The sequence below is a fragment of the Homo sapiens genome, chromosome 3 (assembly GCF_000001405.40).
Source record: "Homo sapiens chromosome 3, GRCh38.p14 Primary Assembly".
Lineage (NCBI taxonomy): Eukaryota > Metazoa > Chordata > Mammalia > Primates > Hominidae > Homo > Homo sapiens.
Window position 1 is genome coordinate 44,661,121 of NC_000003.12, and position 13,067 is coordinate 44,674,187.

A 13,067-nucleotide genomic window follows, 5' to 3' on the forward strand; every position below is an offset into this window, starting at 1 on the left:
TGCCTTGTATTTATATAGAACTTTTATTCTTTGTTGTGTACCCTTATGTATTGATCATGATACCTGGCACGTATCTCACGCTTTCACATAGATCACCTACCTCAGTCCTTACAACACTGAAACAGGTGGTTGCCCATTTACCTGAGAATGGTCATTTAGTGCAAGGCCAAGTAACAAGTGACAGCTTATATCCAAGTCCAGGTCCTGAATCTAGATTCTCTGTTCTGCCATGCCACTTGCCAAACACCTGTAATCCCCATGCAGACCTGTAGGGGAGACAAAGAAAGGGGTGTGTAGTCCCATTTTTCAGGTGAGGAAGCTGATGTGACAGATGTTTGGAGTGTGCCTTAGGCACTGTGACCAGAAATCAGCAAACCTAAGACTAGAATTTGGGTCTCCTGATTTCTGGCTCTGTCCCTCCATGCTGTTCCAATGCCTCAGGGCATGCAAGAGCATTTATCATAAATGCTGAGCCTGATGCAGCTCTCATGCAGAAGTCCCATGCATTTATTATCACATTTCTGCAAGACTAAATATTAATCACATAGTGTTTTCTAGTTTACAGAGCACTTCTTTTGTGTGTTAGTTTTGTTTTGTTTTTGAGATGGAGTCTTAGGCTGGAGTGCAGTGGCACAATCTTGGCTCACTGCAACCTCTGCCTCCCAGGTTCAAGTAATTCTCTTACCTCAGTCTCCCGAGTAGCTGGGACTACAGGTGCATGCCACCACGCCTGGCCAATTTTTTTTTTTTTTTTTTTTTGAGACAGAGCCTTGCTGTGTTGCCCAGGCTGGAGTGCAGTGGCACGATCTTGGCTCACTGCAACCTCCGCCTCCCGGGTTCAAGTGATTCTCCTGCCTCGACCTCCTGAGTAGCTGAAATTACAGGTGCACGCCACCACCCCCAGCTGATTTTTGTATTTTTAGTAGCAGTGGGGTTGGTCAGGCTGCTCTTGAACTCCTGACCTCGTGATCCACCTGCCTTGGCCTCCCAAAGTGCTGGGATTACAGGAGTAAGCCACTGCGCCCAGCCTTTTTTGTATTTTTAGTAGAGACGAGGTTGCACTATGTTGGCCAGGCTGGTCTCAAACTCCTGACCTCAGGTGATCCACCTGCCTCGGCTTCCCAGAGTGTCAGGAATACAGGCACGAGCCACCATGCCTGGCCTACAGTGCACTTTCACATACAGAAGGCATACACAAGAAAGCTTATTAATTTCCTTTTTCCTCCCTCCTCTAGTTTTTTTTCCAAAACATATGCAACTTACTTTCCCAGTTTCACTCTAAATCATAGAGACACAAATACAAGAAATCAAAAGGATTCAAAAGTAGGATCAAATACTCATGCCCTCACCAATCCTAACAGTGACTGTTCCAGTCTCCCTGATGGAATGGAGAGACCCAAATAAACCACCCCCTGTCTCTGCTGAGAGTAGGAACAAGTTAGTTTTTTCCCCCTGCCTTATCAGGAAGCTGAGAATATCAGGAGAGCAGGTCTGAAGATTTGAGAAAACTCTGTGACCTTGACCCACCAAGAGACAGAAACTACTTTGCTTAAAGAATACCTGCTGGGATTTATGACCATTAAGACAGTTAAACCATTCTACCATCACATATGTTTATCCTCATAATATTCAGTTATGGATGATTGTGATTTTCACTCATAGGTAGTTCAGAAAAGCTACGCAGGGGATTATGATGCAAAACTAGGTTTGAGATTCACTGACCCAACCTTGCAGTAAAGCAGTGGTTTTAAACCTTGGCTTCATGTTAGAATCACATTGGGCACTTTTTTAAAATTTCCATTTCTAGACCTCTGTATTTTTTAAAACTCTGGAGGGGATTACAATGACAAGCAAAGGTTATGAGCCACTGTAGCAAAAAGTAAAGGCTGCAGGCCAAGAATGTGTGTGATCAAAGGTGGAGGGGGTGGGGGTGCTCCAGTATAAGGATCTGTACGTGCAAAGCATTCTATGTATTTTTAGCAGAACAGGAGACTTACTTTACACTAGCTGAACTAGGTGTCCATCAGTGCCTCTGCCAACCATTGGATGTTAGAGGATTCTGCCACCTAGCTTATTTTATTTGTATTTAAGTGAATATACCAAACATTTATATGAGCAAACCAAGTTTTACATAACATGCTTTTGGTATGTATTATGACTTTTTACATTTCTACTTGGATTTCCTCTTCAGATCTCAGTTTCCACAAATCTGCATCCAGGTTCAGGGCCTCTGATTCTGCACAAATCATATGAGCCAAGTGGATTGATTACTAGACAGATCAGATCCTTCCCCAGCTAATAACTCTGCCTTCTGATTCCAGTCCTCAAAATAAATTGCAGCCTGCCATTTTCTTTATGTTTTATAAGGGAGGAGTGACCACCTTTTGTCAGTTTGCTTAGTTTCCTATTCTTTGGGCTCATCTCCCATCTTTTTTGGGTAGTCTTGCTAGGAGTGGTTGGGAACTCTGAAGCCCCATTTTCCCAAGTTGCTGAGAGCTATCAGACTTTTAGCTGTCAGGCTAAGAGCTCTGTTGCAGGCCTAGTGATTGGCATTAAGAGTAGGGCCAGGAAATCTGTCCTCATCCTCAAATGAGACCAACAGATATGTATTAAGTGGAGCACAGTGATGCAAAACTGATGGCGAAATCACGTACAGTACTCTGGGAGCACAGGAGAAAGACTTCAATCCCTAACACGAAGTTACACACTCAAACACAGCCATAAATTCCACCAGGCTTAGGAAGAGGTGTCTTTGGACAAAGCTAATTGTTCACCTGCTCTGTATCCCCTCCCTGTCTCAGGTAGTTGTCCCTCTCCCACGTCTGTCACCTCTCCACTTGCTCATCCATTGTAGGCACTGCAACCTTTCTGGGGTTGCAGCCCCTTTGGGAATCCTGGGAAGATTATGGATCCTCTTCCCCTAAGAAGTGTACGTTGCAGATTAAATCTTGTGCTTACTTGGAGGTTATGCAGGCTTCCTGAAGACAATACATACATTTAGAGCCTAAAGTTGAATCTGGGGTGTATTACATAATCACCAGTGACTTTTTTTTTTTTAAATGAGGTTAGGTTACAGAATCACTAAGAATGTTGCCCAGACATTCTTTAAACCTTTAAAATTTGTTTTTCTCTTAGATTCCTTCCCTTATCAAATGACATTATCCCCACCACCTGGGGCACGCAGATTGAATGTCCAGAAGCTATTTCTGCCTTCCTAAGCATCATTCATTACAAAAACATTTTGTGTTCCCTTGTGGTGAACGTCATGCTAGATTCTGGACTGCCAAAGCAAACCTGGTCCACTATCCCTGTTGTCATGTCTGTTATGGGAAAAATATCAGGATCCCTAACATGATTTACTGAGCTCTTCATAATCTCTTTCCAGCCTCATCTCTTCACTCTCAGGCACCTTTTACTGCAGCCTAGAGGCACGTGCTTGCTCTTCTCTGTGCCTTTGCTCACACTTTTCTCAGTGCCTATAATACCTCATCACTACTTCCCACTCAGTCCCCTTCTACTTTTGCAAGCTTAGTTTCTTTTTATATTTGGTTCAAGTTCCATCTCTGGGAAACCCCTGACTGCGTTATGGTTAAAGGCATATTCAGAAGTATATTTATTAATACGCATATACAAGTGCATGATATGCTATGTGTCCAGAGATTTACCTTTTTGCTTTAAAGTGAAAAAGTCTGGATTAAAAATTGTGTATATAATACAGTTCTCATATACTGTTGCTTTTATATATACTATATACTATTTAAAAGTATATAGATAAATTACCTGAAGGAAAAAAGAAAATATTATAAGTGGTTAAATGACTTACAGCCATACTGACGGTTAATTCCAGGCTTACATTCAAACCCATATACTCTGGATAATAGGATTATGGTTTACTAAGAGGGGTTTTGTTTGTTTGTTTTAGCAATTTCTATATTTCTATAAGGAGCAAGAATTTTATAAAAATAATTATTATATTTACATATCTAGTTTATTATATTAACTATAAACCATATCTCAATTCTCCATTTTGTGGTATGTTGGAGGGACCCTTCCCTTCCTTTCCCTTTCCCTTTTCCACGTCGTTGGCTCTTACATTGTCAAGTCTGATAATTCTTAAATTCTATTCTGTAACCAGTTAGGATTTTATGTTTGGTTATTGATTGATTTCAAAAGCTGAAAATAAACAGCATGAACATTATTACAACCATCTGAATATTGTTGATTGCAGATCTTAGCTTACTGTGTTTATATTTCCTTTTGGGATCAGCTTTTTGTTTTTACGGAAGTTTCTAGTTGCCTTTCTTTTTACCTTGTACTGGTTGCTTTCCACACACTCACAGTCATTTTCAAATTCTCCATTCAATTAAATACTCTGTTGAATTCACTTCTTTTCTCTCTGTATATTCTGCTTTCAGCCTCCTGCTCTAGTCTGTTTTTGATGACCTTTCTGCCTATATTCTGTTGTTACACTGGACTCAACTGTTTCTGAATTCTGTGTCTTCCTTTTTCTTTATTTACTTCATCATTTTATTATAGTACATGTCAAGTCTCCTGTCAGGAAAGAGTACATGGAAGGCAGAGTTGTTGAGTGTCTGTGTCTTTCTCTGACCTCTCACTTGATGGTAGTTTGGCTGGCTCTGGAATTCTAGGTTGAAAAATTTCCCTAGAAGTTTGTAGCCACTGCTTCACTGACTTACAGCATCCACTGCTGCTAATGAGATGCCTGATTCCAATCTGATACTTATTTATTTGACAATCAGTAAATAGTATTTACATTACAGTGATCTGTTTTCCCACCCCTATGCCTGGAAGCTTTTAAAGTCTCTTCTTTATCTTTGATGTATTCAGTTCCCTAATGCTCAGTGGAATTTTTCAATCTACAGACTCAGGTACTCCTACTCTTGGAAATTTTCTCATTATTTATATGACTATTCCCCCTTTCCATGTTTTTTCTCTTTATAGAGTTCCTGTTCCTGCTAATCAAATGTTGGACCTTGTGGATTGATCCTTAGCTGCATTCATTATTTCCATTTCTTTGTATTGTGCCACTATGAGAAGAGTACCTTGATTATTTTCTAATGAATAATATTTTTAACAGTAATAATTTTAACAATAACTAGTTTAATTTCTGAGAGCCTTTTCTTAAAAGTATCTTCTGTCACATGAATTATCTCATTCCCTTCATGCCCCTGCCACTGGGTCCTTTTTTCCCTCTGTTTACCTTGTTTACTCTCATTAGACTTTCCTCAAATGTGATTCTTACACCCATATACGTGTGCGTGTGCACGTGAGTGTGTCTGTGAATTAAAAGCCTAATTGAGACCTCTGTGTGTAGGAGTGAGATTTGCCCACTGTTTCCCTGGAGAACCCTAAATGCCAGAATACAGAATATTTTGCCTTGGGCTCTTACATTTAATTAGCAAAAATCCTCTGATATTTTTGTCTGGGGTTTAGATGCTGTTAAGTGCTTTTCTAGAAGTGGAGGGAAGGAAGCCAAGTGTTATTACAGACTTCCATTTAATGCCCTTATTTTTAGATCCACTTCTGCCTCCCAGCCTTCATTGTACCTGGGGTTTCAAAATTCCAAGTCTCCGGGGTTGGGCAGGGTAGATCAGCTACCTCCTTCCATTGGATAGCCCTCAGCAAGAGTTCCAAGCTGTTACTCCCTCCACCCAGCTGTCTTAGTTACCACATCATTCATTTTCCATCTTCTAGAAATTTGTTCCTTTTATCTCATTGTTATAGTTTTTTTTTTTTTGAGATGGAGTTTTGCTCTTGTTGCCCAGGCTGGAGTGCAATGGGGCAATCTTGGCTCACTGCACCCTCCACCTCCCGGTTTCAAGCAGTTCTCCTGCCTCAGCCTCCTGAGTAGCTGGGATTACAGGCGCATGCCACCACTCCCAGCTAATTGTTTTTTGTATTTTTTAGTAGAGATGGGATTTCACCATGTTGGCCAGGCTGGTCTCCAACTCCTGACCTCAGGTGATCCGCCCACCTTGGCCTCCCAAAGCGCTGGGATTACAAGCGTGAGTCACCACGCCCAGCCTCATCGTTACACATTTTAACCATTTTTACTCATTGTTATTTTAGGGGAAGTTAAACCATTTTTAAAAGAATGTTGATATCCTTTGATACAGCAGTACCACTTTTAGAAAGCTGTCTTAAGAATGAATATTTGTACAATGATTTATATACTTGTCGATGTTACTCATTTCACAAAAAAGTGACTAACCTAAGTAACAATAGGGGAATGATTAAATAAGTTATAATACTATGGAATATTGTGCAACCACTAAAGGTCATAATTAAAAGAATAGTGATATGATAATAGCACACAGTAATATTAAATAAATGATGCAAAGTACAAAATAAAACACTGTACAGAGAGCTGAGTTTTCTGAGATGCACATGCATAGGAAAGAAAGAAATTGGGGGTTAACTGTGGTTAAATTTCCAGCAGTCTACATTTTCTACAATGAGCCTGTATTACTTTTATGATCAGGAGGGGAAGGTTAATAAAAGAGAAAGATCATGGCTTGTTCAGAGTGGTGAGACTTTCTTGTGAAGTGTGAAATGGGTAGTGGGGAATAATAGAATAAGGGTCTGGAGAAGTAAGGTCCCTATTTTTATCCATTGTTAGCATTTTATGGTTACCAAGAACCTAATACCAGGTGAAGGAGTTCAGCAGAAGAATATATATTTGTGACATTGTTCTGGCTGGACAGTGGAGGCTGAGCTGGTGAGGGGAGAAAGGAATCCTGAAGACCATATTGGCAGTTTTTTTCAGAGCCCAAGAGAGACAGTGGGATTCTGACCCAGCCACTAGAAGGGGGCCAGAGGAGAAGGAATAGATGTGATGTTTTGAAGATAAAATGAGCAGACCTTAAGGGACACGGAAGATCAAGCAGCAAATTCCCAAGCCAGAAGTCTGGGCCTCTACATCCTGGTGAGACCTACGACATGACAAATGAGGCCAGGCCCAGGTCCGAGAGGCACTGCTTTCCTTGCAGCTCTCTGGAGCTACCCTGTCTTCACAGTGGCTAATGCCTCTCTGATGTTGGGAAGGGCTGGAGACAAGGGAGGAGACAACCCAACTCATAGCAGGCTACCTGGCTATCGTAGGCTACCTTGACACTGACTAGGTTCCCTACTTGTACCATGTGTGGTTTTCCAGGATTCCTGTGATCTCTGGTATTTTCCCTCCAAGGACTGGGGTTCCCTCAAGGCAAGTCACCCTACTGAACCAATAGCAAGGTTGTAATCATCACTACTGTTAGTTGAGGGGTTCCTGTGTGCCAGGCACCATACTAAATGCCAAATGTGTTACATCTCATTTAATCTTCACCTGAGGAGGGAAGTTCTCTTATGCCATTTGCAAAGCCAGTAGTCCCAGTCAGGATTAGAACAACTCTGATGTACAAGTCTGTGCCCCTTTCTCCCAGGTGAACTTCTCAGTGCACCCCCAAGGACTCCTCTCCCCATGTAAGAGTTCTTTGTTAAATTGAAAGAGCAGTTCTTGCCTGTAGTAAAAAGGTCAGTGGTGCAAAAGCATACAAAGAGATGTGAGACTCCCTCCCAGTCCACATAACCAGTCTCCTACCCCAGTGGTAGCTATTTTTAAATGTCTTGATTTTTCCTCAAGATAGTCCCAGCATTTACAACCTTATGTATCCCCCTTAAAGAAACACGCACAAAAAATGAAAAGCTTAGGATACAGTCTACACCTTGCTTTTTTCAGTGTCTTGGAGATGGCTTTCTATTAGCCTGTAAGATCTACCTCATTTTTTTCACTGCTTTGTGATATCCATTGTATGAATGTACCATAATTCATACAGTCCCCCTGTTGATGGGCCTCTAGGTTCTTTTCTGCCTTTTGCTATTACAAACAGTACTGTGCCAAATATCCCCGCACACTGTCCCTGGATAAATTGATGAAATTAAATCGTAGGTGCATTTGTTATTTTGATAGAAATTGGAAATGTAGTTCCCAGTGTGTGTATGAAAATGTTCATTCCCCTGAATCCTCTGAAACTATTGTGTTGTTTCTGATCTCATAAATGAAAAATGCTCTCATATTTTAATTTGCATTCAACTATGAGTGAAACTGGGTACCACAGCCCATGTTTAAAAGTCATTTGTATTTATTTTCTGTGACTGGCTTATTTGCGTTCTTTAGCAGTTTTTCTGTTCATCCTTTTAATAATCAATTTGTACAAACTATAAAGAAATTATCCTTATCTGCTATATGTGTTGCAAATATTTTCCCAGGTTTGTTTGTCGTACTTAATTTTGCTGTTTGGATATTTAAAATTTAATATCAAATCAAGGACTTCCCCTCTTCAAGATGATATGTTCTCCCATGATTTCTAGTCCTTTGAGATCGGTCCCTTTGAAATTCTTTGTGGATAAGGACTGAGTCAGGTCTTGGCCCTGTCTCCCGCCCCTTTTCCTCTGGCATCCAGGTGGAGGAACCAAGCAGGAAAAACACATAGACGAAGACAGCTCCCAACTTCCTAGAGCAGCCGGGCAAGAAGCTTGCACCAGGGCCTTCTGCCCTCGCCGGACTCACTGAGCCAGTCAAAAGCAGGGTGTCCGGGGAGCCCAGCGAAGAGTGGAGCAAGCTGAGGGAGGAATGGGCAGTCCGAGAAAGGGAGAACAGAAGGGGCTGTACCCTCGCATGGGGTGGGGTTGGGGCTGGTGGGGGCCTGGAGGCTAGGGACAGGCCCAAATCTGGGGTGGGTGGTGTGTTGGGGGAAGGAAAGAGAAGGAAGGGCTGGAGCTTGAGATGTGGGAGGCGAAGGAGGAGGCTGCAGCTATGGGGATGGGGGAAGAATCGGGAATGTGCAAGGAGAAGAGCAGCGATGTGCAGGTGGGCAGCAAGGGTAGGAGTCAGGATCAGATGTGGTGGCCTGGAGGAGGAGCCCAGTTCAGGGAAGAGCCAGGGAGGAAAAGGGTGGCTTCCTCCAGGACCCTGGGACCCTCGTGCTGCCCACTGCTTTCTCTGGCCTTAGGTGGGCAGGGCAGAAACCAGACCATACTCCTGAGGGCAGGTGGGGAAGAGGGCATTCTAGGCTGGCCCTGTTCCTCACCTCCCAACCCAGGACAGATCCCTAAGCTCTCTAACGTAAGTCCTCTCTTGCCATTGTGAGGCTGGGGTGAAATGAGGGGTAGGAAATGGCTTTGTAATGATTGAAAGGCTGCCTGGTTGCACAGGCCTGCTGTGGCCTTCTGGAGGACAGGATAGACATGGATAAAAGAAAACCAAGCCTTACCTGATTGGAAAACATTTTACTTTCATAGTGCAGCGTGGGGTGCCTGCCCCTGACTGCCTTACACATGGGCCTCGGCCGTGCTTCCAGAGCCTTGTTCTGTGGTGGATGCTTAGCGGATGATAAGCAGAGGCCTTGTCTGAGGAAGGCGAGACATGAAGTCACCACTCAGGTCCCAAGGGGGAGAATCTGTTTAGAATAGAGCCTAAGGGGCCACCGTGCTGAAGAAGGAGCCAAATAGTTCTGTGACCCCTTGGGCCAGAAGAAGCTATGGGGAGTTTTCTCTGGAAATAAGAGTCTCTGGCAGGGTCTGGACCACACCTGTTCCCCCAACACAAGCCCTGTGAGGAAGGAGCAGGATGGATGGTCTCTGGTCCCAGACAGCTGTGGAGGCCAGAGTGGCTTCCAGAGGCTGGGGTGGGCTGGAGCACCTTTCCTTCTTCCACCCTGGTGGGCAAAGCTAGGCCTTTGAAAGAATAGGTGCCCACGGTCATGAACTGCATTCACAGGGGCCTGGTCCCAAGATGCCCCTGCCTCCCTAAGGAGCTGATAATCCTCCTGGGATGGGCCAGGTCTCTGGCGAACAGTATTTACTGTCCCTTTAGGTGACACCTGATGATCCCAAAGAACCAAAGGGTTTTCTCTCTTCCATCACAGGTTCGAATGAGAGTGAGGTGCACACAGATGAGGATGAGCCCTGTAAGCCTGAAGGAGGAGCAGCCCCGGGCCAGTGGCTCTTGCCTTGGGAACACCCCCACCAGGGCTAAGGGCTGGCATTTCCCATCTTAGCTTGGTGGGCCACAACCAAAGGTGAGAGGTGGGAATATGGCTGGCCCTAGAAGAGTGTGGTGAAAGGACCAGGGGTTGCCAGGGTAGGGCTGCGACTCATAAGCCACCTTTCTCATAAGCCATTCCTTATTCCCAGGTAAGGCATGGCCCTTAGGTGTGAGAGATGCACCAGGCTAATTTCATTCTCTCCTATTCACTCAGTGTCCAATTGCCCAGCTGCTACCAAATGCCAAGCACCAGGCAGCCATGAGGGGCCTTTCAGGACCTGTTCTGCTTCTGACTGGTTAGGTCACCTCAGAGAAGTCAATGTCCTTGCCTGTCAAATGAAGCAACATTTCCTGCCCTGCCAGCTTCACTGGGTGGTATGCATCAAAGGAGACTCGGACAGGACAGGGCTGTAAACAGTTCAGTCATTTGACATCGCTGTGGTTATTAACCAGGGTGGGGTCATTGTCCAAGAAGAGAAGGGATGCTCTTTGGGAGGGATGCTTCTGTGGGCTGCATGGGGCCAGGGTCCATCCTGGAGATGACCACTCAGTCTTTTTTGCCTTTAAACACCAGACCCTCCCTGAAAGTTTACCTTTACTTACTATGGGTTCTTGCCACTGCCCACCAGCAAAAGGGGTGGAGAAGGTAGGGTCAGCACTGTGACCTTCTTTAGCTTCCCCTCCCAAGGCCATCAGTGGACTTGTCTCCAGAATTTTTTTTTCCAGGTCTCAGTACTAGCCTGGTGACAACAGCATGAGCTCTGGGAGAAAGGCACCCTGAGAGTAGGGCCGGAGCTTCCTCTGACTTCAGCCCTCTAAGGCTACCTGCTGCCTGGGACCCATGTGTTCCCTGCCCCAAGGGCCACTGTTGGAGAAATGCTGCTAGGGCTGAATTGAGAGGCTTCAGCCAGCCTGGGTAAGGCCACTTTCCACCTGGCCTTAACCACCACACCTCAGAAATGTGGGCCTCTGATACTCTCAGCAGAGTGCACCTCTCAGAATCCAGGCTTCAGGGCCTAGCCATCCCCAAGGCTGCCAGACAGGTTTTGTATGTCTTGGGAAAAGCCATTTCCCTCCTGGTCAGTTAGCAGACATCTCTTTGTGAATTACTCCAAGGTGCTGAGCTGTCCGTGGAGGAAAGCACCAGAGAGAATGTGTCCCCCAGCTCTGTGAGCAGACCTGGCTGCAGATGCCAGGCCAGGCTGGAGGCCACAAGGGTTCTGTCTACCAAACACCCATTGCCAGCCCATCATGGCACCACAATTTCACATTGATTAGACAAAGAACTTGCCTAGGTTGTTTTCCTGGGTCATGATCCCAAATTCTTTGTAATAACTCCCCCAAAGAGCCAAACCCCCCAAAATTCTTTCCCCTTGGTTAGCTGTGGCTGTCTGGCAAGCATAGTGGTCCTCAGGGTGACCTTCACGCCAAAACCAGTCATTCAGAGCCATCCTGAGCATTTTGCCAGATGTGCACTAGTGCTAATTCTGGGGCCCAAGGGAGGCAGGATAAACATATTTTATTTGTTGGCAGATGTGAGGACAGGGACTGTGCCAACCAGAATGGTGCCTTCACAGATACTAGCACAAGTGCACCAGGTTAAGAATGCTACAGGGCTGATAGGATTCAGATGTTGCCCTGGAGAAACACACAGCCTAGTTGTGAAGATAAGATGGATACATGGGAAAGAGAAATCTAATTCACCAAAACATGTAAGGTCATTGCCAAAGAAATGGGGATGGATGGCAGAGGTAGTCAAGGATAGAGGAGGGAGCAGTCACTGGGAGCTGTGGGAAGGATGGGAGAAGGCTTCCTAAAGGAGAGGTGACTTGAGCCAGGCCTGATGGGTGGGTGGGTGGATGGATGGATGAATGAATGGGTGGGTGGATGGATGAGCAGTTTTAGAGGACAAGGATTGGGTATTCCAAGCCATGCAGAAGGTGAGAGGAAAGATACAGAGATAGGAAATCTTTGTTGAAGAGCATGAGTACAACCAGAAAGTTCAAGGAAGCCAAGAAGAGGGTTGGGGAATAGGAGAAAAGATCTGTATTAGTTCACTTTCATGCTGCTGATAAAGACATACCCAAGACTGGGAAGAAAAGGAGGCTTAGGCCGGGCGCGGTGGCTCACACCTGTAATCCCAGCACTTTGGGAGGCCAAGGCAGGCGGATCACGAGGTCAGGAGATTGAGACCATCCTGGCTAACATGGTGAAACCCCGTCTCTACTAAAAATACAAAAAATTAGCCAGGCGTGGTGGCGGGCGCCTGTAGTCCCAGCTACTCGGGAGGCTGAGGCAGGAGAATGGTGTGAACCTGGGAGGTGGAGCTTGCAGTGAGCAGAGATTGCACCACTGCACTCCAGCCTGGGCGATGAGCGAGACTCCGTCTCAAAAAAAAAAAAAAAGGAGGTTTAATGGACTTAGAGTTCCACATGGCTGGGGAAGCCTCACAATCATGGCGGAAGGCAAGGAGGAGCAAGTCACGTCTTACATGGGTGGTGGCAGGCAAAGAGAGAGCTTGTGCAGGGAAACTCCCGTTTTTAAAACTGCCAGATCTCGTGAGACTTATTCACTATTACAAGAACAGCACAGGAAAGACCTGCCCCCATGATTCAACTACCTCCCACCGGGTTCCTCCCATGTCACATGGAAATTGTGGGAGTTACAATTCAAGATGAGATTTGGGTGGAGACATAGCCAAATCATATCAAGATCTTAACTGGAGGGCTAGGGCCTAGAGTGGACCATGGCCATCTCTGCCCTTGGGACAGTGCTCTGCTATTTAGCATTTCCACACTCCTCTGTTTCTTCAGGCCTCCTGGAAGCAAAAGCCTGAGCTGCTCCTCCTGGACCTCCTAGAACAGCGTCCTTCTTTCCTGCTGTATTTCCTGTAGCTTAGGGGGAGGAAAGGGCCCTGCATGTGTCCCTCCCCACACTTCAGAGGGTTGGCTTGCCCTGCTTCTTTGTGCTTTCTCTTCCTGCCTGGACTGAGCTCGCGGATTGTGAGGCTAGGGAGCCACAT

General features: G+C 45.2%; 1 long non-coding RNA gene across 1 annotated transcript in view; it reads right to left on the reverse strand.

The window, feature by feature from the left end:
• Positions 1-13,067, reverse strand: part of ZKSCAN7-AS1 (ZKSCAN7 ZNF cluster antisense RNA 1) — a 128,297-nt gene that overhangs the window by 103,764 nt on the left and 11,466 nt on the right. Inside the window, exon 2 of the long non-coding RNA NR_157564.1 lies at positions 142-266. This is a non-coding gene — a long non-coding RNA (ZKSCAN7 ZNF cluster antisense RNA 1). The remainder of the gene's footprint in view (positions 1-141; positions 267-13,067) is intronic.